Genomic DNA, 13,684 nt, shown 5'->3' on the forward strand with positions numbered 1-13,684 from the left:
TACATTAATTCAGAACCTGATCCCTTTAAGGAGTCTCATTGCTGCACATGGCATATTATACATTAATAATATGGGGTAATAGCATTCTGAGCCTCTTACGTGGATCCATTTCATGCTATGAGGTTGGCCTCACAGTGAACATTGCCATATCATACTCACTCCTTATTCCCTTAAAGAATACATCTTACTATTGGAATGAGTGCTGGGTGGTTGGTAGCTTTGGTTCCTTCAACACAGTAGCACTTGAGCTGTGCCACTTCACAATCCAGTTCTACTTCATGTTTGATACAGCTTTGTATATTTCTTTTGATTCTATTAATCATTGTAATAATTTCTTACCTGGAATCTATTGATTCATAGTTTCTAAGAAATCCATACACAGCACATCAGAGCTCCAAGTGGGGTCCAAAGTCATGTGAGGGGGTCCTTAGTTCCCACCTCACCTCAATCTTCACATTAGTTCATTTTCCATAAATAAAAATACTCATGAAATTCTTTTGAAAAAGTGATGGGCAGGAGGACAAGACAAAATTGATAAAGAATTGTTACCTATCTCTGTATTTATCCTACGAACGTGGTCCATTTTGGGTCCATTGTTTGCTGTGCCCTTCTGTGTCTTCCATGAAATCCAGGCTCCAGACATAGGCCTTTGTGCTTCAATCTTTAGCTTCTTTTGGTCTCTGTGCCTGTTACCTGGCAAAGTTGTTCTCTAGAAACTGGTCAGCTGTGCCTATGAGGGCAAGTCTAGATCTCGTGGAGGAGATGAGTGGGACTCTAGAGACTTGAGAGAGGTAAGACAGAACAGGAGGTGCCATTGGCTGGCATTACCTGTGCAATCAGATGAAGGTGCATTTGGATGGTGTGGCAGCAGGCACCTAGATGGCACTCGGCACATTCATTTGGTAACGTTTAGAAATTGCTCCTTAACTGTGCTGATGAAAGCAGTTTTGACGAACAACTCAATAAAGAGCCATGGAATCCCACAGAATATGTTTCATTTTTTCATTACATTTGTTAACCCGTTGGAGGGCTGATTGCTGCCAGTCACTCCTCATCCTGCTGAGCTGGTGCCTCAGAGGAGGGCGGATGTGGCTCGACTGCGTTCCCTCAGCTGCCAAGCCATCCAGCCCTCTTGCAGTTCTCTGCATCTACTTCCACTATGCCATTGGCTCCTGACGGAAACCTTGAATTAAGTGGGTTAGAAATAAACTGCTTGAATGCATTTGTGCAGATAGCTTCTCTCACCAGCTATCTGAAGTGCTTTTTGAAATACACGGGAGCCCTTTGTAAGCTGCTTTATAAGCTGTGAAGTCCATTGTTGCTGCTCTCTGCAGCCAGCGTGTCTCTAACCTAAGTAATGTCTACTTGGCTCTGGGCCAGGACTTGGTATTGGAATCTGGCGTAAGCAGCAAAGCCGCCCACCAGAGTCACTAGCAGCTGTTGCAAGTTGGAGGATTTGCAGAAATTGAGATTGCTGTTCCCAGATATTGGCACTTGCCTGGTGATGAATGACCGAGTCTGTGCAAAGGGACTCTGTATGCTTTCCTTCAGCCTTTTATTCTCAGCCCTCTATTGTGGCGCCTGCTCAATGGCCCCGTTGTGGAGGAGGGTGGCTGAATGGAGGGGTGAGTGGCCTGCCTCTACTGTCATTCCCTCCCTCAGTTGGCCTAAACTGAGTCATTAATAATAGCTCTTTGATCCCCTGAACCGGTTCTTGGGGCAGGAATTTCATGGCACATAGCACAAATGCCAAAGGCTAAGAATCCAACCTTGAGAGAATAGAGAAATGAACTTCACCTGAGAGTGAATTGAGCCCTGCATTGATTACTGTAGTGCCCTTTTGCCTTAATCCACCCATCTGCTCCAGAATAGCCAGGGAGGTAAGACCAAGACCAGAAAAGGTCTATTCAGATAAGGGGTAGTGTTTATTTCTGATATGATTGCCCAAGAATGAACTTTTCAGAGGGTAATGCCACCTCGTATAATTTCTTCTTATCACATATTCCCATGCATATTCATATATGCATATGCTGAAACCAGTGTTACAGTGCCATCTTCCTAGAGATTACACTGCAAAGAAACAGCCTCAATTAACTGCCATCCACCCTCCTGACTACATCCCCCTCTATCACTCCCTCTGACATCACTGTTTCATCATCAGATTGTAAGATGCTTGAGGGTAGGGACCTTGTCTGTCTTGTCACTGCTGAACCCACCATAACACTGCCTAGAATAGTGCTTCACCAAGTCAGCACTCACTAGAAAGTTCTTGGATAAATGAATGAGCACTGATGTTTCTTGGCTAACGTTTTGACTCTTTTAAAATTTAGAAAGGCTGTGCGTGGTGGCTCACGCCTGTAATCCCAGCACTTTGGGAGGCCGAGGTGGGCGGATCACGAGGTCAGGAGATCGAGACCATCCTGGCTAACACGGTGAAACCCCGTCTCTACTAAAAATAAAAAAATTAGCCAGACATGGTGGCGGGCACCTGTAGTCCCAGCTACTTGGTAGGCTGAGGCAGGAGAATGGCGTGAACCCAGGAGGCGGAGCTTGCAGTGAGCCGAGATCGCACCACTGCACTCCAGCCTGGGTGACAGAGCGAGACTCCATCTCAAAAAAAAAAAAATTTTTTTTTAGAAAGCAAAATAACCCTACAGTTTCCATAGAGAAAGAGTGCTAGAGCCACAGCAGCCCTGCAATCACATACGGAACCAAACTGGGTGTCTCTCAGGAGAACTGGATTAATTCCTAGATCTGCCCCCAAAGTAACAGAGCCTTGAACAGGTCACAGAGCCTCGCCAGGCCTCAGATTTTTTTCACAGAATAAGTGGTTTGGATTAGGTTTCTCTAAGATTCATTCCACGTCTGAGTTTCTAATAATAGTTTTCACTTAATGAGTACTTACATGCTGTGGATTAACTCATTTGATCCTTACCCACAGTCCTGTGAGGCAGGCACCATTACACTACAGTCTCCATTTTGCAGATGAGAAAACTAAGGCCTGGGAAAGTTAACTCACTTACTAAATAAATAGCAGAGCATATTTTCTTGATCTCCTCATTTAGAACGCAATGCCCTAATTGACATTGAACATATTTATCTCCAGGTAACAAGGGACCTTTCCAATCTTCCCTCCATTCACTGCATCTGCGTGTACTCTCTTATTGGCTAGGAATCAATCTGGTACTGCCTTTCTTTTGGGATGATCAAAAGCAAAGCATAAGAATGGGACAGTGGCAGTGACCCTAAGTAGGAAGTGTAGTAATGAAGGTATGAATTTTTAGTTGTTTGGGGGTTTGGATTTGTTTTATTGTCCCCAGAGATGACACCAATAGGAACATATCTAAGATGAGAGCATGGCTAAGACATGTGATCATAGAGCAAGAGAGAGCAGGTCAGACCTGTGGGATGGGTTTATGAGCTGGGGCATTTATGGATAAATTAAACTTTAGCCCTGAGTAAGCAAAGTCCTAAGCCAGTTATTACTGCTCTGGCACTTCTAATGGGCCCTATGCAACCCTTATAAATTATTCAGCTACTTTATTAATAAAAGACCAAGCAACTTGCCTAGTCCTGGTGATACTTAAGTGTATAGCTTAGAGAGTGCAAGTTAGAGGAATAGAATATTTGCCATCCACCAAGGAATCCTCTTTTCTAATATGGAGGTGAAAGGGTTAAACTGACTACCTTGAAGAGCAGAGTTTTGAGATAGAGTACATGAAACTGGCATTGAAATGTTAACAGTGTCTGCTAAAAAAGGGCTTTCCTCTGAGGAAGTGGCTGTTGAGATTTCCTGGACTGTTGCATCTGATGCACCTTTCACAGAATGGCATGACTATGGCGAGTAAGTGTCCCAGGAGATCCACCATTTAAGCCTCAAGTTTTTTATTTTTGTTTTTAATAATTCTTATGCCTCTTTATTTTGATATAATTTTACACTTACAGAAAAGTTGCAAGAATACAAGTACAAAGATCTTCCATTTACCCTTTATTAAATTGTTAACATATTGCCCCACTAGCTATTTATGTATTTTTAGAACCAGAAGATTTTGGTCAGATTGCTTCTCACATCCATAAGAACAGAAAATAATGTTTTTCCATCTCATATAGAAAATATTTTTTCTAGAAGTTCAAGGGGTCACCATTCTTGTTTCATGATATTGTTCCAGCTTAAAAGGCGACTCATGGCAGTTGTACATCCTGGTTTTCCAGGGAAACTTCTGCTTTCAAGTTCTCTGTTCAAATTCCAGACCAACTGTGAGGCCAGGGGTCTTTTTGGATCAAAACTTAGCATTCTAGCAGCTTTGGGTTGGGGCTTCTGTCAGGCTGAGATGTTATCAGGGGTGAAAGAACCTAAAAGTATAATAGCATTTAAGTAATGTAGTTTACAGCCCTGTCTGGAAGCCTCTGGAAATGTGTACATCTCAGGATATTTGCATATTTGCTGTCTGAGTTTTTCATGCTGCCCCTAGATATGCCAGGAGCTTTATAATGTTATATTCTTTCAGATTTCAGGAAATAATGAGTCAGAAGTATGGCAAAATAATCCACTTCATATACACTTCGAAGCATGTTTGGATTCTGTTATTTAATGGCACTATGAGAATATCAGTGTTTTCGTGGTGAACTATAAATATTAGCTGAATGCCAACCTGCTGAATGCAGATGGACAGCACAGAGATGAGAGGGCCCTCAAGGTGGCGCTTCCCAAGACGCCAGCTACAGAGGCACGGATGGCAACTAGTACCTGAGGACTCTGGGCGCTGGCCTTACATGTCATGGCACAGACCAAAAGGAAGACTCTTATTTTTTTCAACTTTGCACACTCTTATCATATTTGCAGTTCCCATCCACTCTGAGTCTTGGGTCCTTCTGCATTTTCACTGAAATGAATACTATGTTGGTATGTGTCCTTGTCCTCATTGATTATGTCTCTTTTGCCCTCACTCAGCTCTGTTTTCCCACCCATCAGTGAATAGTATGGATTTTATGGCCAGTTGTTTTATTGGCCCCAGAGATGACAAGCATTGTGCCAATAATGACCCCACCATTCTTAGCTTTTGCACTTCTTTTGCCCCCATTGCTATCCATGATCCTATGAAGTCTGCAAGGAGACTGCTACTTTTGGGTACAGCAGGACACACACAGTGTAGTAGGGTTGAGGTAGGAAACCTAATTCAAGGGGAATAAAATAGGCGAAACATGAGGTGGAAATATTTTAGAGGGAAGTTGATAATGGAAAGTTTAGTGAATAAGAAATTGGAAGACCTTATTTCTCACCCAGACTGTAGTGATTCCTGTATGGCCTTAAAACAAAGCTCACACAGGTATCTGCCCCCACTTCTCTGATTCTCATTGTCTGCCTTTATAGGCTGTACCTCCCTCTCAACCCCCCATTGTTAACTCCAGGTTATAGTCCTAGCTATTGGCCCTGGATTATATTAAATGGTAGCTGATGTTCTTTCAAGGGCTAAAATGCCATGATCTTATGAATCCTGCCCCTTACTATCTTACATTTTGAGTTTGAAATCAAGTCAGCTGATCAGTAAATTGAGTTGATTAAATTTTTGCCCTGACATAAATGTAATCTGTATGAGTAGGAGATGACAGCTTAGAAGACCGTCTGTGTCTTCCCGTAGTTCATCAGATAAACACTCTAATTGGATAACAGAGCTCAGTTTTAAAGTAGACTGAGCTCAAAGGTGAGCTAGCCAAGGGCTAATGCTAATGCCATCTATCCAATTCTCAGAAGAGCAATTAGGGCCCTAATGAGATGAGGACCTTGGGCTTTGGTGATAGCACCAGAGAGAAGTTGAGAAGCTATGTTGAATGGCCCTACCAGCTTCTTTGGGGCAAGCTGCTTGTTTGGGATTCACCCATTGCTCAAATGTCTCCCAGATATTTGTGCAAGATCTGGACCCCTGCATAGCCCAACCCTCTTCCGTTCCCAGTTCTCTTCTTGTTAGGATTATAGATTCATGGTGCTAACCATTTGATTTATCTTTGATTTGTCTTTCTTTGTCAGGTGCTCATTTTTAAGGCTACCGATTTAAACACATAAGCTGAGAAATAAGTTTCAAGTTCTGTTAGAATGCTGTTTCGCCCACTTCACACATGTGGTATATTAAGGGTTCACCTTTAGCAACAGCCAATTAGTAATTGCCAATACTGCTTATGTGCAGTGTGGGATTCTTAACAGTTGCTATGAGAACCTTAACTTTTGCATTCCCTGACTCATTTTACATGAACAATGCAAATGTGAAGAGATTTGAAGGGGAGGGATGAGAAGACAGGGAGCTGGCAAATAAATGAAGCCCTGTTCGCTCTTAAATCACTTTGAATGGTAAGTTCTTGGTGCTCATTCTGTTCTTCCACCTCAGGCTCTCTCATACACATTTGTTTTCCCTGAACCCTTAAGAAAAAAGTAAAATAGTTTGACCTTTATTTGCATCAAACTTAAAAGCAGTTCAAGTTCACTACTTAGCAAGAAGATTGCCTTTAATGAGCCAAGTTTAAAAGAGCTGGATTTTTATCTCTTAATGTTTGGAAGGAGATGAGATGTGCATACACACTGAGAAAGTAAGCTTACAGCTTTAACTATTAAATTCAAAACTGAATCACTCTCCCAGCAGCATTTAAGAACAAAAAAACTGTGTGGGTTTCTTTTGTTGTTTTTTGTTTTGGGGGACAAAAAGCATCTCATACAGTATGTGCCTGTGTGTGAAATCTTGCATTTTGAAAAACACCCTTCCCTCAGCAGACCAGAAGTCATCTTTACTTGTTTTGAACATCACCTGAGAACAAAATTTCTTTTCCAATCCATGGTCCTTTGCCTTATTTGAAGCTGCCTCCCAGCTTGGATTTGGCCCCAGCACAGGGTGAAATGTGGGTTAGATCCTCTGAAGAAGGAAAAGGTGCTTCCCTCAGCCTTTGTCAGCACTAATGGCCAGCTGTGTTTTGTGCTCTATCACTTTGTTTTGCCTTTCCCTTGTCATTTGGTGAGCCAGGCTTTATGCTGAATAGAAGATAAAGAGTGCTTATCCTCCACTCCCTTCCCTCTCAGTTCTCTTCCTCTCACTGTACTTGAAAGAAAACTGGAATGCTGGGACAGAACTTCTTGATTTGCCCTTTAGAGTAGAAGCTGTAAAGAGACTGTGGTCACCAGGACCCCATGAGCTTTAGGATCCCAAGAGCTTTAGAATAGTGCTTTCCAAACTTATTTAATGGGTCTGGAGTTGGGCCAGAGAATTTGCATTTCTAGCAAGTTTCCAGACGATGTCAATGCCAGTGATTTGCAGACCCCTCTTTTGAGAAGAAAGGGCCTAGACTTCCCTCCCCCTTTTTTTTTCCTCTAGGTTTGGGAATTACGAAATATTCATTGTATACACAATGCGTTAATGGCTAAGAGAACAGGTTCTGGAGCCAGTCCCCACCTAGTCTAAGTTTAGGCTCCCTAACTTGCTAGATAAATGAAACTCTCAGTTTCCGCATTAAAGAAGTGGAGAAAAAATAGTGTCATTGTGATCAGCAGATCATCCTTGTGATGTGCCTCTTATCCGGTGACACAGCATTTGTATGATGCAAAGAAAGCCCTAAGTGGCCATTTCGATCCAGTACTTGATACATGAATTGAATCCTGTCCACATAAATGCTATTGTCTGGGAAGGCCTTTGCCTTATGACATTTTAGGGCATATCCTTGAACCAATACTGTACATGACTTTCCCTCCCATCCATGAAATGAAACTACAGTCCTGTTACATTCCCTCCCTCCTGCCCAGATTCGCCCTTGTTTGGTAAGAGGTGCAGAGCTCTTAGTGTGCATACTAGGCTGGTCTGTCATTGTGGCCACATCTTACAGAGATGTAATGGTGGCTGCAGATTAAATCTCAGATGTATATAGGATTACAGACTCTTAAAAAAGATTCTGGACTGCATACTCATTAGGATGGCTACTATCAAAAAACTAAAAGATAGCAAGTATGAGCAAGAACCAATTTATTATTTTTTTTAATCCCCAAACATTTGATATGCAAGCAAGCACCATTTCAGAACAAATCTAGATTTGGAACCCTTGTGCACTGTTTGTGAGATTGTAACATGGTTCAGCTGCTATGGAAAGTAGTATGGAGATTCCTCAAAAAAAATTTAAATATAATTACCATAGGATCCAGCAATTCTGCTTCTGGGTATATATCCAAAGGAAATGAAATCAGTATCTTGAACAGATACTTGCAGTCCCCTGTTCATTGCAGCACTTATTCACAATAGCCAAGATAATTCAAACAACCTAAATGGCCATCTAGGAACCAATGGATAAAGAAAATGTGGTATATACCTACAATGGAATGTTATCTAGCCTTAGGGAAAAAAAAGGAGATCCTGCCATTTACGACAACATGGATGAATCTGCAGGTCATTATGCTAAGTGACACAAGCCAGTCGCAGGACAAATATTGCATGATTCCAGTTACGCGAGGTAACTAAAATAGTGACACTCATAGAAACAGAGAATAGAGTGAATGGTGGTTGCCAGGGTCTGGGAGCCTTGGGAAACAGGGAGTTGTTGCTTGACAGGTCTAAAATTTCAGTTATGTGAGACAATTAAGTTCTAGAGATCTGCTGTACAATATTGTGCCTATTGTAAGAGTACTTTATTTAAAAATGTGTTGAGAGGGTAGGTCACGTGTTAAGTATTCTTACATTTCTATGGAAGGGGATAGGGAGAGATTCTGCTTCTTAAAAGTAATTTCTTCTTGTGAGTAAAGCTAATTTTGGGGGATAGAATGTGGTGGTCCAAAACGGGGGTTGGAAATATGAGGCTGAATTGATTAAAGAATGTGCCTGAGATCAGGGTCCATTGCATAAATCCTGGTCCCTGACCCTCTTTTATTAGTATGTGTGGGAGCCTTAGCAAGTGACCTTAGGTGTTGTCTTGTGTCATTGAAAAAAGCAAAAACAAAACAAAACAAAACCACTTTATCTAGCTGAGGATGCTTTCTTTCTTTTCCTGGACTTATTTGGACCTGCATGTTGCAAAATCTACATTGCTACATAAAAAGAGGTAGCTCCTATTCATCCTTCACTTCTCAGTTTTAATACCACTTTTTCCCAGAGCAGAATAAGCCCTTCCCCCTCATCATGGGTTCTAGCTCCCTGTAGTTCCCCACCCTTACTTATTTCCTATTTAGTGGAGGCTTTCTCCAAAAGACTCTAAACTCCTTGAAGTTTTTGTGTTGCTTGTCTCTATTGTATCCCCACCTAGCAGTCCTTGTCACATAGTAGATACTCAATATTTGTTGAATAAGTGGAAATTTCATCTATACAGGAAAGCGATGTATATTCTTATATATAAGTTTATTGCTTAGCAGGTTTTGATCTTGATTTCTGTGGGATATCATTTCCAAGACATTAATAGATTTTTGTTTTGTAGTCATATTTGTGGCACCAATGTGCATTTCCGAGAATCTCCTGAGAGGCTGTTCTACCTCCAGGAATGAAGACTGCATCTAAATAGAGATCATCACTATTTCCAAAGGGCAGGCAACAACCACAGAGGATGCAAATTGATGGAACAAGCTCAGGGAGCAGGAAAACACAAACGTCTCTGAGAAACTGTTAGCTGTAGGCTGAAAATTAGGAACTCTGAGCTTTCTTGTATTTTTTCAGACCCCATGGCCTAGCAGCCCCTGGAGATTCCTCAGTAGATCCGTTAGCCACTGAGGAAAGCAGCTGTGTTCGATTTTATGGCTGTTTGCTTTAGCTTTCTGTGCTTGTAACTCATTTTTGACATGACAGTTAACAACAATCTAGATTATCTCTGAAGTTGCTTATCAAAATTGAAAGTGTCAGATACCCAATATTTTGAGGCCCATAATTAACGTGAACATTTTTACTTAATGTAGATGCCTGTAAAACATCTTTTATCAATAGAATCTCAACCATTTTTTCATAGTGTGGGTGACTGTAGCACAAGTAAGAGAAACCTACAGTCAGAAGAAAGGGGCTGGCTGCAGTGGCTCACACCTGTAATCCCAGCACTTTGGGAGGCCAAGGCAGGAGGATTGCTTGATCCCAGGAGTTCGAGACCAGCCCTGGCCATATAGTGAGACCCCCATCTCTACAAAAAATTTAAAAATTAGCCAGACATGGTGGTGTGCACCTGTAGTACCAGCTACTTGGGAGGCTGAAGTGGGAGGATCACTTGAGCCTGGGAGGTCGAGGCTACAGTGAGCCATGGTCACTCCACTGCACTCCAGCCTGGGTGACAAGACCGTGTGTGTGTGTGTGTGTGTGTGTGTGTGTGTGTGTGTGTGTGTGTGTGTGTGTGTGTGTGTGTGTGTGTATGTATGAAAAGAAGAAAGCATCTGTAATAGGGTGTTTGATTCCTCGCCTGCCAACATCAAGATCTGCTAATGGGAGCAGAGGTCTTGTCCTGGATCTCTTTTCCGTCCCCTGAACTTTTCCTCCCTCCTATTTTACCACCCCACACACTTCTCATTCTAAAATTCCTCTTCTAGTCTTTTTTACTTTCAATCTCTTTTCCCACCTACTTCTATTTTTCCTGCCTTTAAGTTTTTTCTCCCCCACTCCTTCCCTCTAATAGGAAAGGAGGGCAAATATGAAGTAAACATTTGCATGTGCATGTGGACTGGACCAGTTAGTCTCTGTGTTCGTGGCTTTTATATGGATTACACACTTAATCTCCCTTAACTCTCTCAATCTGCCTTTTATTTAGTTTATTGTCATAATGACACTAATTGGGGCAGTAAAAGAAATGTCAAGTAAAAAGTGAAAAGTGCTTTTGATGGAGAAATGTTTTTCCTCGTTCATTCCACCAGCAATCATTTTCACTTGGATTTGAAGGTATTGGAAAACAAGTCTTGTTAATTTTCATTTATTCAGTGACTGCTTATCCAATTTGGCAATTATCACTTCCTTCTCTGGTCTCTCCTGCTGCTACTCTTAGCCTTTTCACGGTTCCTCTTCCACCATAGGGAAGGAGAAAAGGAAGGAAATGAAATTTCAGCATTCAGTGTAGCTACTTATTTTTTAATTTGATCAGTTGATTACTGTAAGGCAGTGTATAGGTTTGAGATGAACTGCATTTAGATTTGGGAAATTGAATTGGCTTTAAATATATATATATTTGCTATCTTACAAGCTCCTCGTGGGATTGTGGGCAAAGATGGACCTGCTGATTGATGCGGACTGGACAGTGGATAGGGTGGCTATGTGAGCACCTCTCAGTGAAATGAGTCAGGCAGAACCTGCTTTCCTTCCTTCCCCCCTTACTCCAGCAAATATTTCTGGAATGCACACTGTGTTCTGGAGACACAGCAGGAAACAAAACAAAAGCCCACCTTCATTAAGCCAACAGTGGGGTTTTGTATGGAGATGCTGTACTAAAGATCTTATCTGTGAAAATATCTATCTTTACTCCCCCCAAAATGCAGTCTATAAACCTCATTACTGCAGGAGCCCTTATTATTACCTGCTTGGGTAAAACAGTCCCTCCCCCATTTTTGCTTGAGTTGTGCTTCTCCTTGATTAAATAGTGGCTCCGATGGTCTCTTGAAGCAGGGTTGAAAGAGACTCTGGGGAGATCATCTCATCTTTTAATCTCTTATGTCTTCGGCTTTGTATGGAGCAGCCCTCTCTCTCTTTCCCTGGAAGCTCAGGCTCCATCCATGTGACCACTCTCCAAGAGCTTTGTGTTTGTGTTGGCAGAAGTTAGGATCTGGAGAGCAATATTTCTTACAGATTAATTGCCAAAGTAATTATATTGTAAAATAATATGCATGATTGATATTTAATATATCCCTCTCCAGGGAGCTGGAGAGCTTCATTGATTTGGGAAGATGAGCCAGTTGCTTGTTTAGGAGCAGAGCTTTGTATGAAAAGCCAAATTGATGGCCTGGACCTAAAGACAAAGAGCAGGTGATGGGAGGTGGATAAAGCACAGCCTCCAGAATCATAAAGGGTGTTGCACCAAGAAGTCTCCCACCAGTTCCACTTCCAGAAATCACAGATCTCTAGGAGATGACAAGCAGCAGGTTCTCTTGCTGAGACTCATGTCTTGTTTAGAATGAGTATCCCTAGTATCTGCAGTGGGATCCTGCCAATAAAGAATCTCCTCCCTGCCCTGTTGCTGGCACTGGTTTGAAGGATACTGGCTCAAGAGCAGTATCTGGCATCTCTGTAAAGTCTCTTCCTCTCCTTTCTTGTTGAACAGGGCACATGCAGCTTCTCTGTGTGGGTGACGTCCACATAAGGAGAATGCCTTATTTATTTTAGGTCCATGAGCTTGCGTAATGTGCCTATTTAACACCCTCCTAAAAGCGCTTTTCAGCACATGAGCAAGTAACGAAGCCCACTAAATCCTGCCTCTTCTGGGCACACTGGGCTGTTTAAGGTTGTTCCTGCGCTGTGTATTTATGGATAGGAGCTGGAGTTATGACATTTATTTCTGTTGGTTAGGGCACTGATATATATCTGCCTGCATCTCCCATGGAGAACCGCACCTTATCTTGAGAGAGAGATGAGAGCATTCCCATAACTCATCCTGCCAAGCACTGGGACTGTCAGGGTGGGAAGCTACTTCTCTCCCCCTAGCCAGTGGAGTTGTGGGGGGGTGGTGGCACGTGGTTATGCAGAGAGACTTTGGTGGTAAAATTATCTAGGATTTAAAACAGGAGAGAGAAAAATGTAGCTCCTAATAAGCTCTCCTTTTGCTGTCATGCTTTGTTCAACCTGCCCCCCAGTCCCCTTTCTCAGGCATATCATCAGCAATCCTTGGGGTCTATAGAATCAGTTTATTCCAGTCTTTTGCTCTGACAGGATTCTGTCTCCTAACCAGTCTTCTTCTGTTCTCATGACCCTTCTGGCCTGTCTGCCTTGTACAAGGGAGACCATTCTAAGACACATATCTGCTCACATCATGCCCTGCTTATAACTTCTCATCAGTTCCTTTACCTTCAAAATAAGACATACATGGCCTTCATGATCTATACCCTGTTCATCCTTCTAGCTTCGTTACCCACATTCCCCCACCATCCGCTCTTCCTGAGCAGGAGCACTTGAAGAGTCCAAAACTAGTCTTACTGGCCTCAGGCATCTAACCCTTTCTGCTCTCTACTTGGAATGCCTGTTGCCTTCTCTCTTTTTATCATCACCTCCCAGAACCTGGTGTAAGTAAGTATATGGCTCCAAAGAAACCTCAGTTTAGCATACATGTCTCTCTTCCTCTAGCCTGTGTTCCTTGTTTATCTCCATATGCCCAATCCTTAGCACAATGCCTATCTTGTAGCAGATGTTGCATCTGTGTATGCCAAATGAACAGAGATTGTCATCTAGTGATCTCCTGCGAAGTCTCTGCTCCCGCCTCCTTGCTCTATGACCATACCTGCTCCCTGAAATCCAGAGCCCCAGTATGTCACTTGCTCCAATTGCCCCTGCATTTATAGCTGGACTGTGGCAGATACATCTGGATACTTTGTCTCCAGGAGTAAGTCCATGTTGAGGAGGTGGTACACTTGGAAAATCAGATTAAATACTCCTTTAATATTTAATTAACTCTCTTTAGCTCACTCCAGGCAGTGAGCATCTGCATAAAGGTGAGGTGAGGTTACAGAACATCTCTGGAAGTTCATGTGAGAAAGAGGAGACAGGGCTAGAGTGGTCAG

At 42.4% G+C, this 13,684-nt stretch overlaps 1 protein-coding gene across 2 annotated transcripts in view, besides 2 other annotated features; it reads left to right on the plus strand.

Moving 5' to 3' along the window:
- SND1 (staphylococcal nuclease and tudor domain containing 1) overlaps positions 1-13,684 on the plus strand; it is a 440,400-nt gene that overhangs the window by 290,684 nt on the left and 136,032 nt on the right. The gene's annotated exons all lie outside the window — the stretch shown is intronic.
- Positions 567-1,068: an enhancer, noted in NCBI's record as "H3K27ac hESC enhancer chr7:127583497-127583998 (GRCh37/hg19 assembly coordinates)". NCBI's record gives its function as "activates a minimal SCP1, AML or CMV promoter by ChIP-STARR-seq in primed H9 embryonic stem cells {active_cell/tissue: H9 hESC(primed)}" and the evidence as "EXISTENCE:reporter gene assay evidence [ECO:0000049][PMID:30033119]".
- Positions 1,069-1,568: an enhancer, noted in NCBI's record as "H3K27ac hESC enhancer chr7:127583999-127584498 (GRCh37/hg19 assembly coordinates)". NCBI's record gives its function as "activates a minimal SCP1, AML or CMV promoter by ChIP-STARR-seq in primed H9 embryonic stem cells {active_cell/tissue: H9 hESC(primed)}" and the evidence as "EXISTENCE:reporter gene assay evidence [ECO:0000049][PMID:30033119]".

The sequence above is a fragment of the Homo sapiens genome, chromosome 7 (genome assembly GCF_000001405.40).
Source record: "Homo sapiens chromosome 7, GRCh38.p14 Primary Assembly".
Classification (NCBI taxonomy): domain Eukaryota; kingdom Metazoa; phylum Chordata; class Mammalia; order Primates; family Hominidae; genus Homo; species Homo sapiens.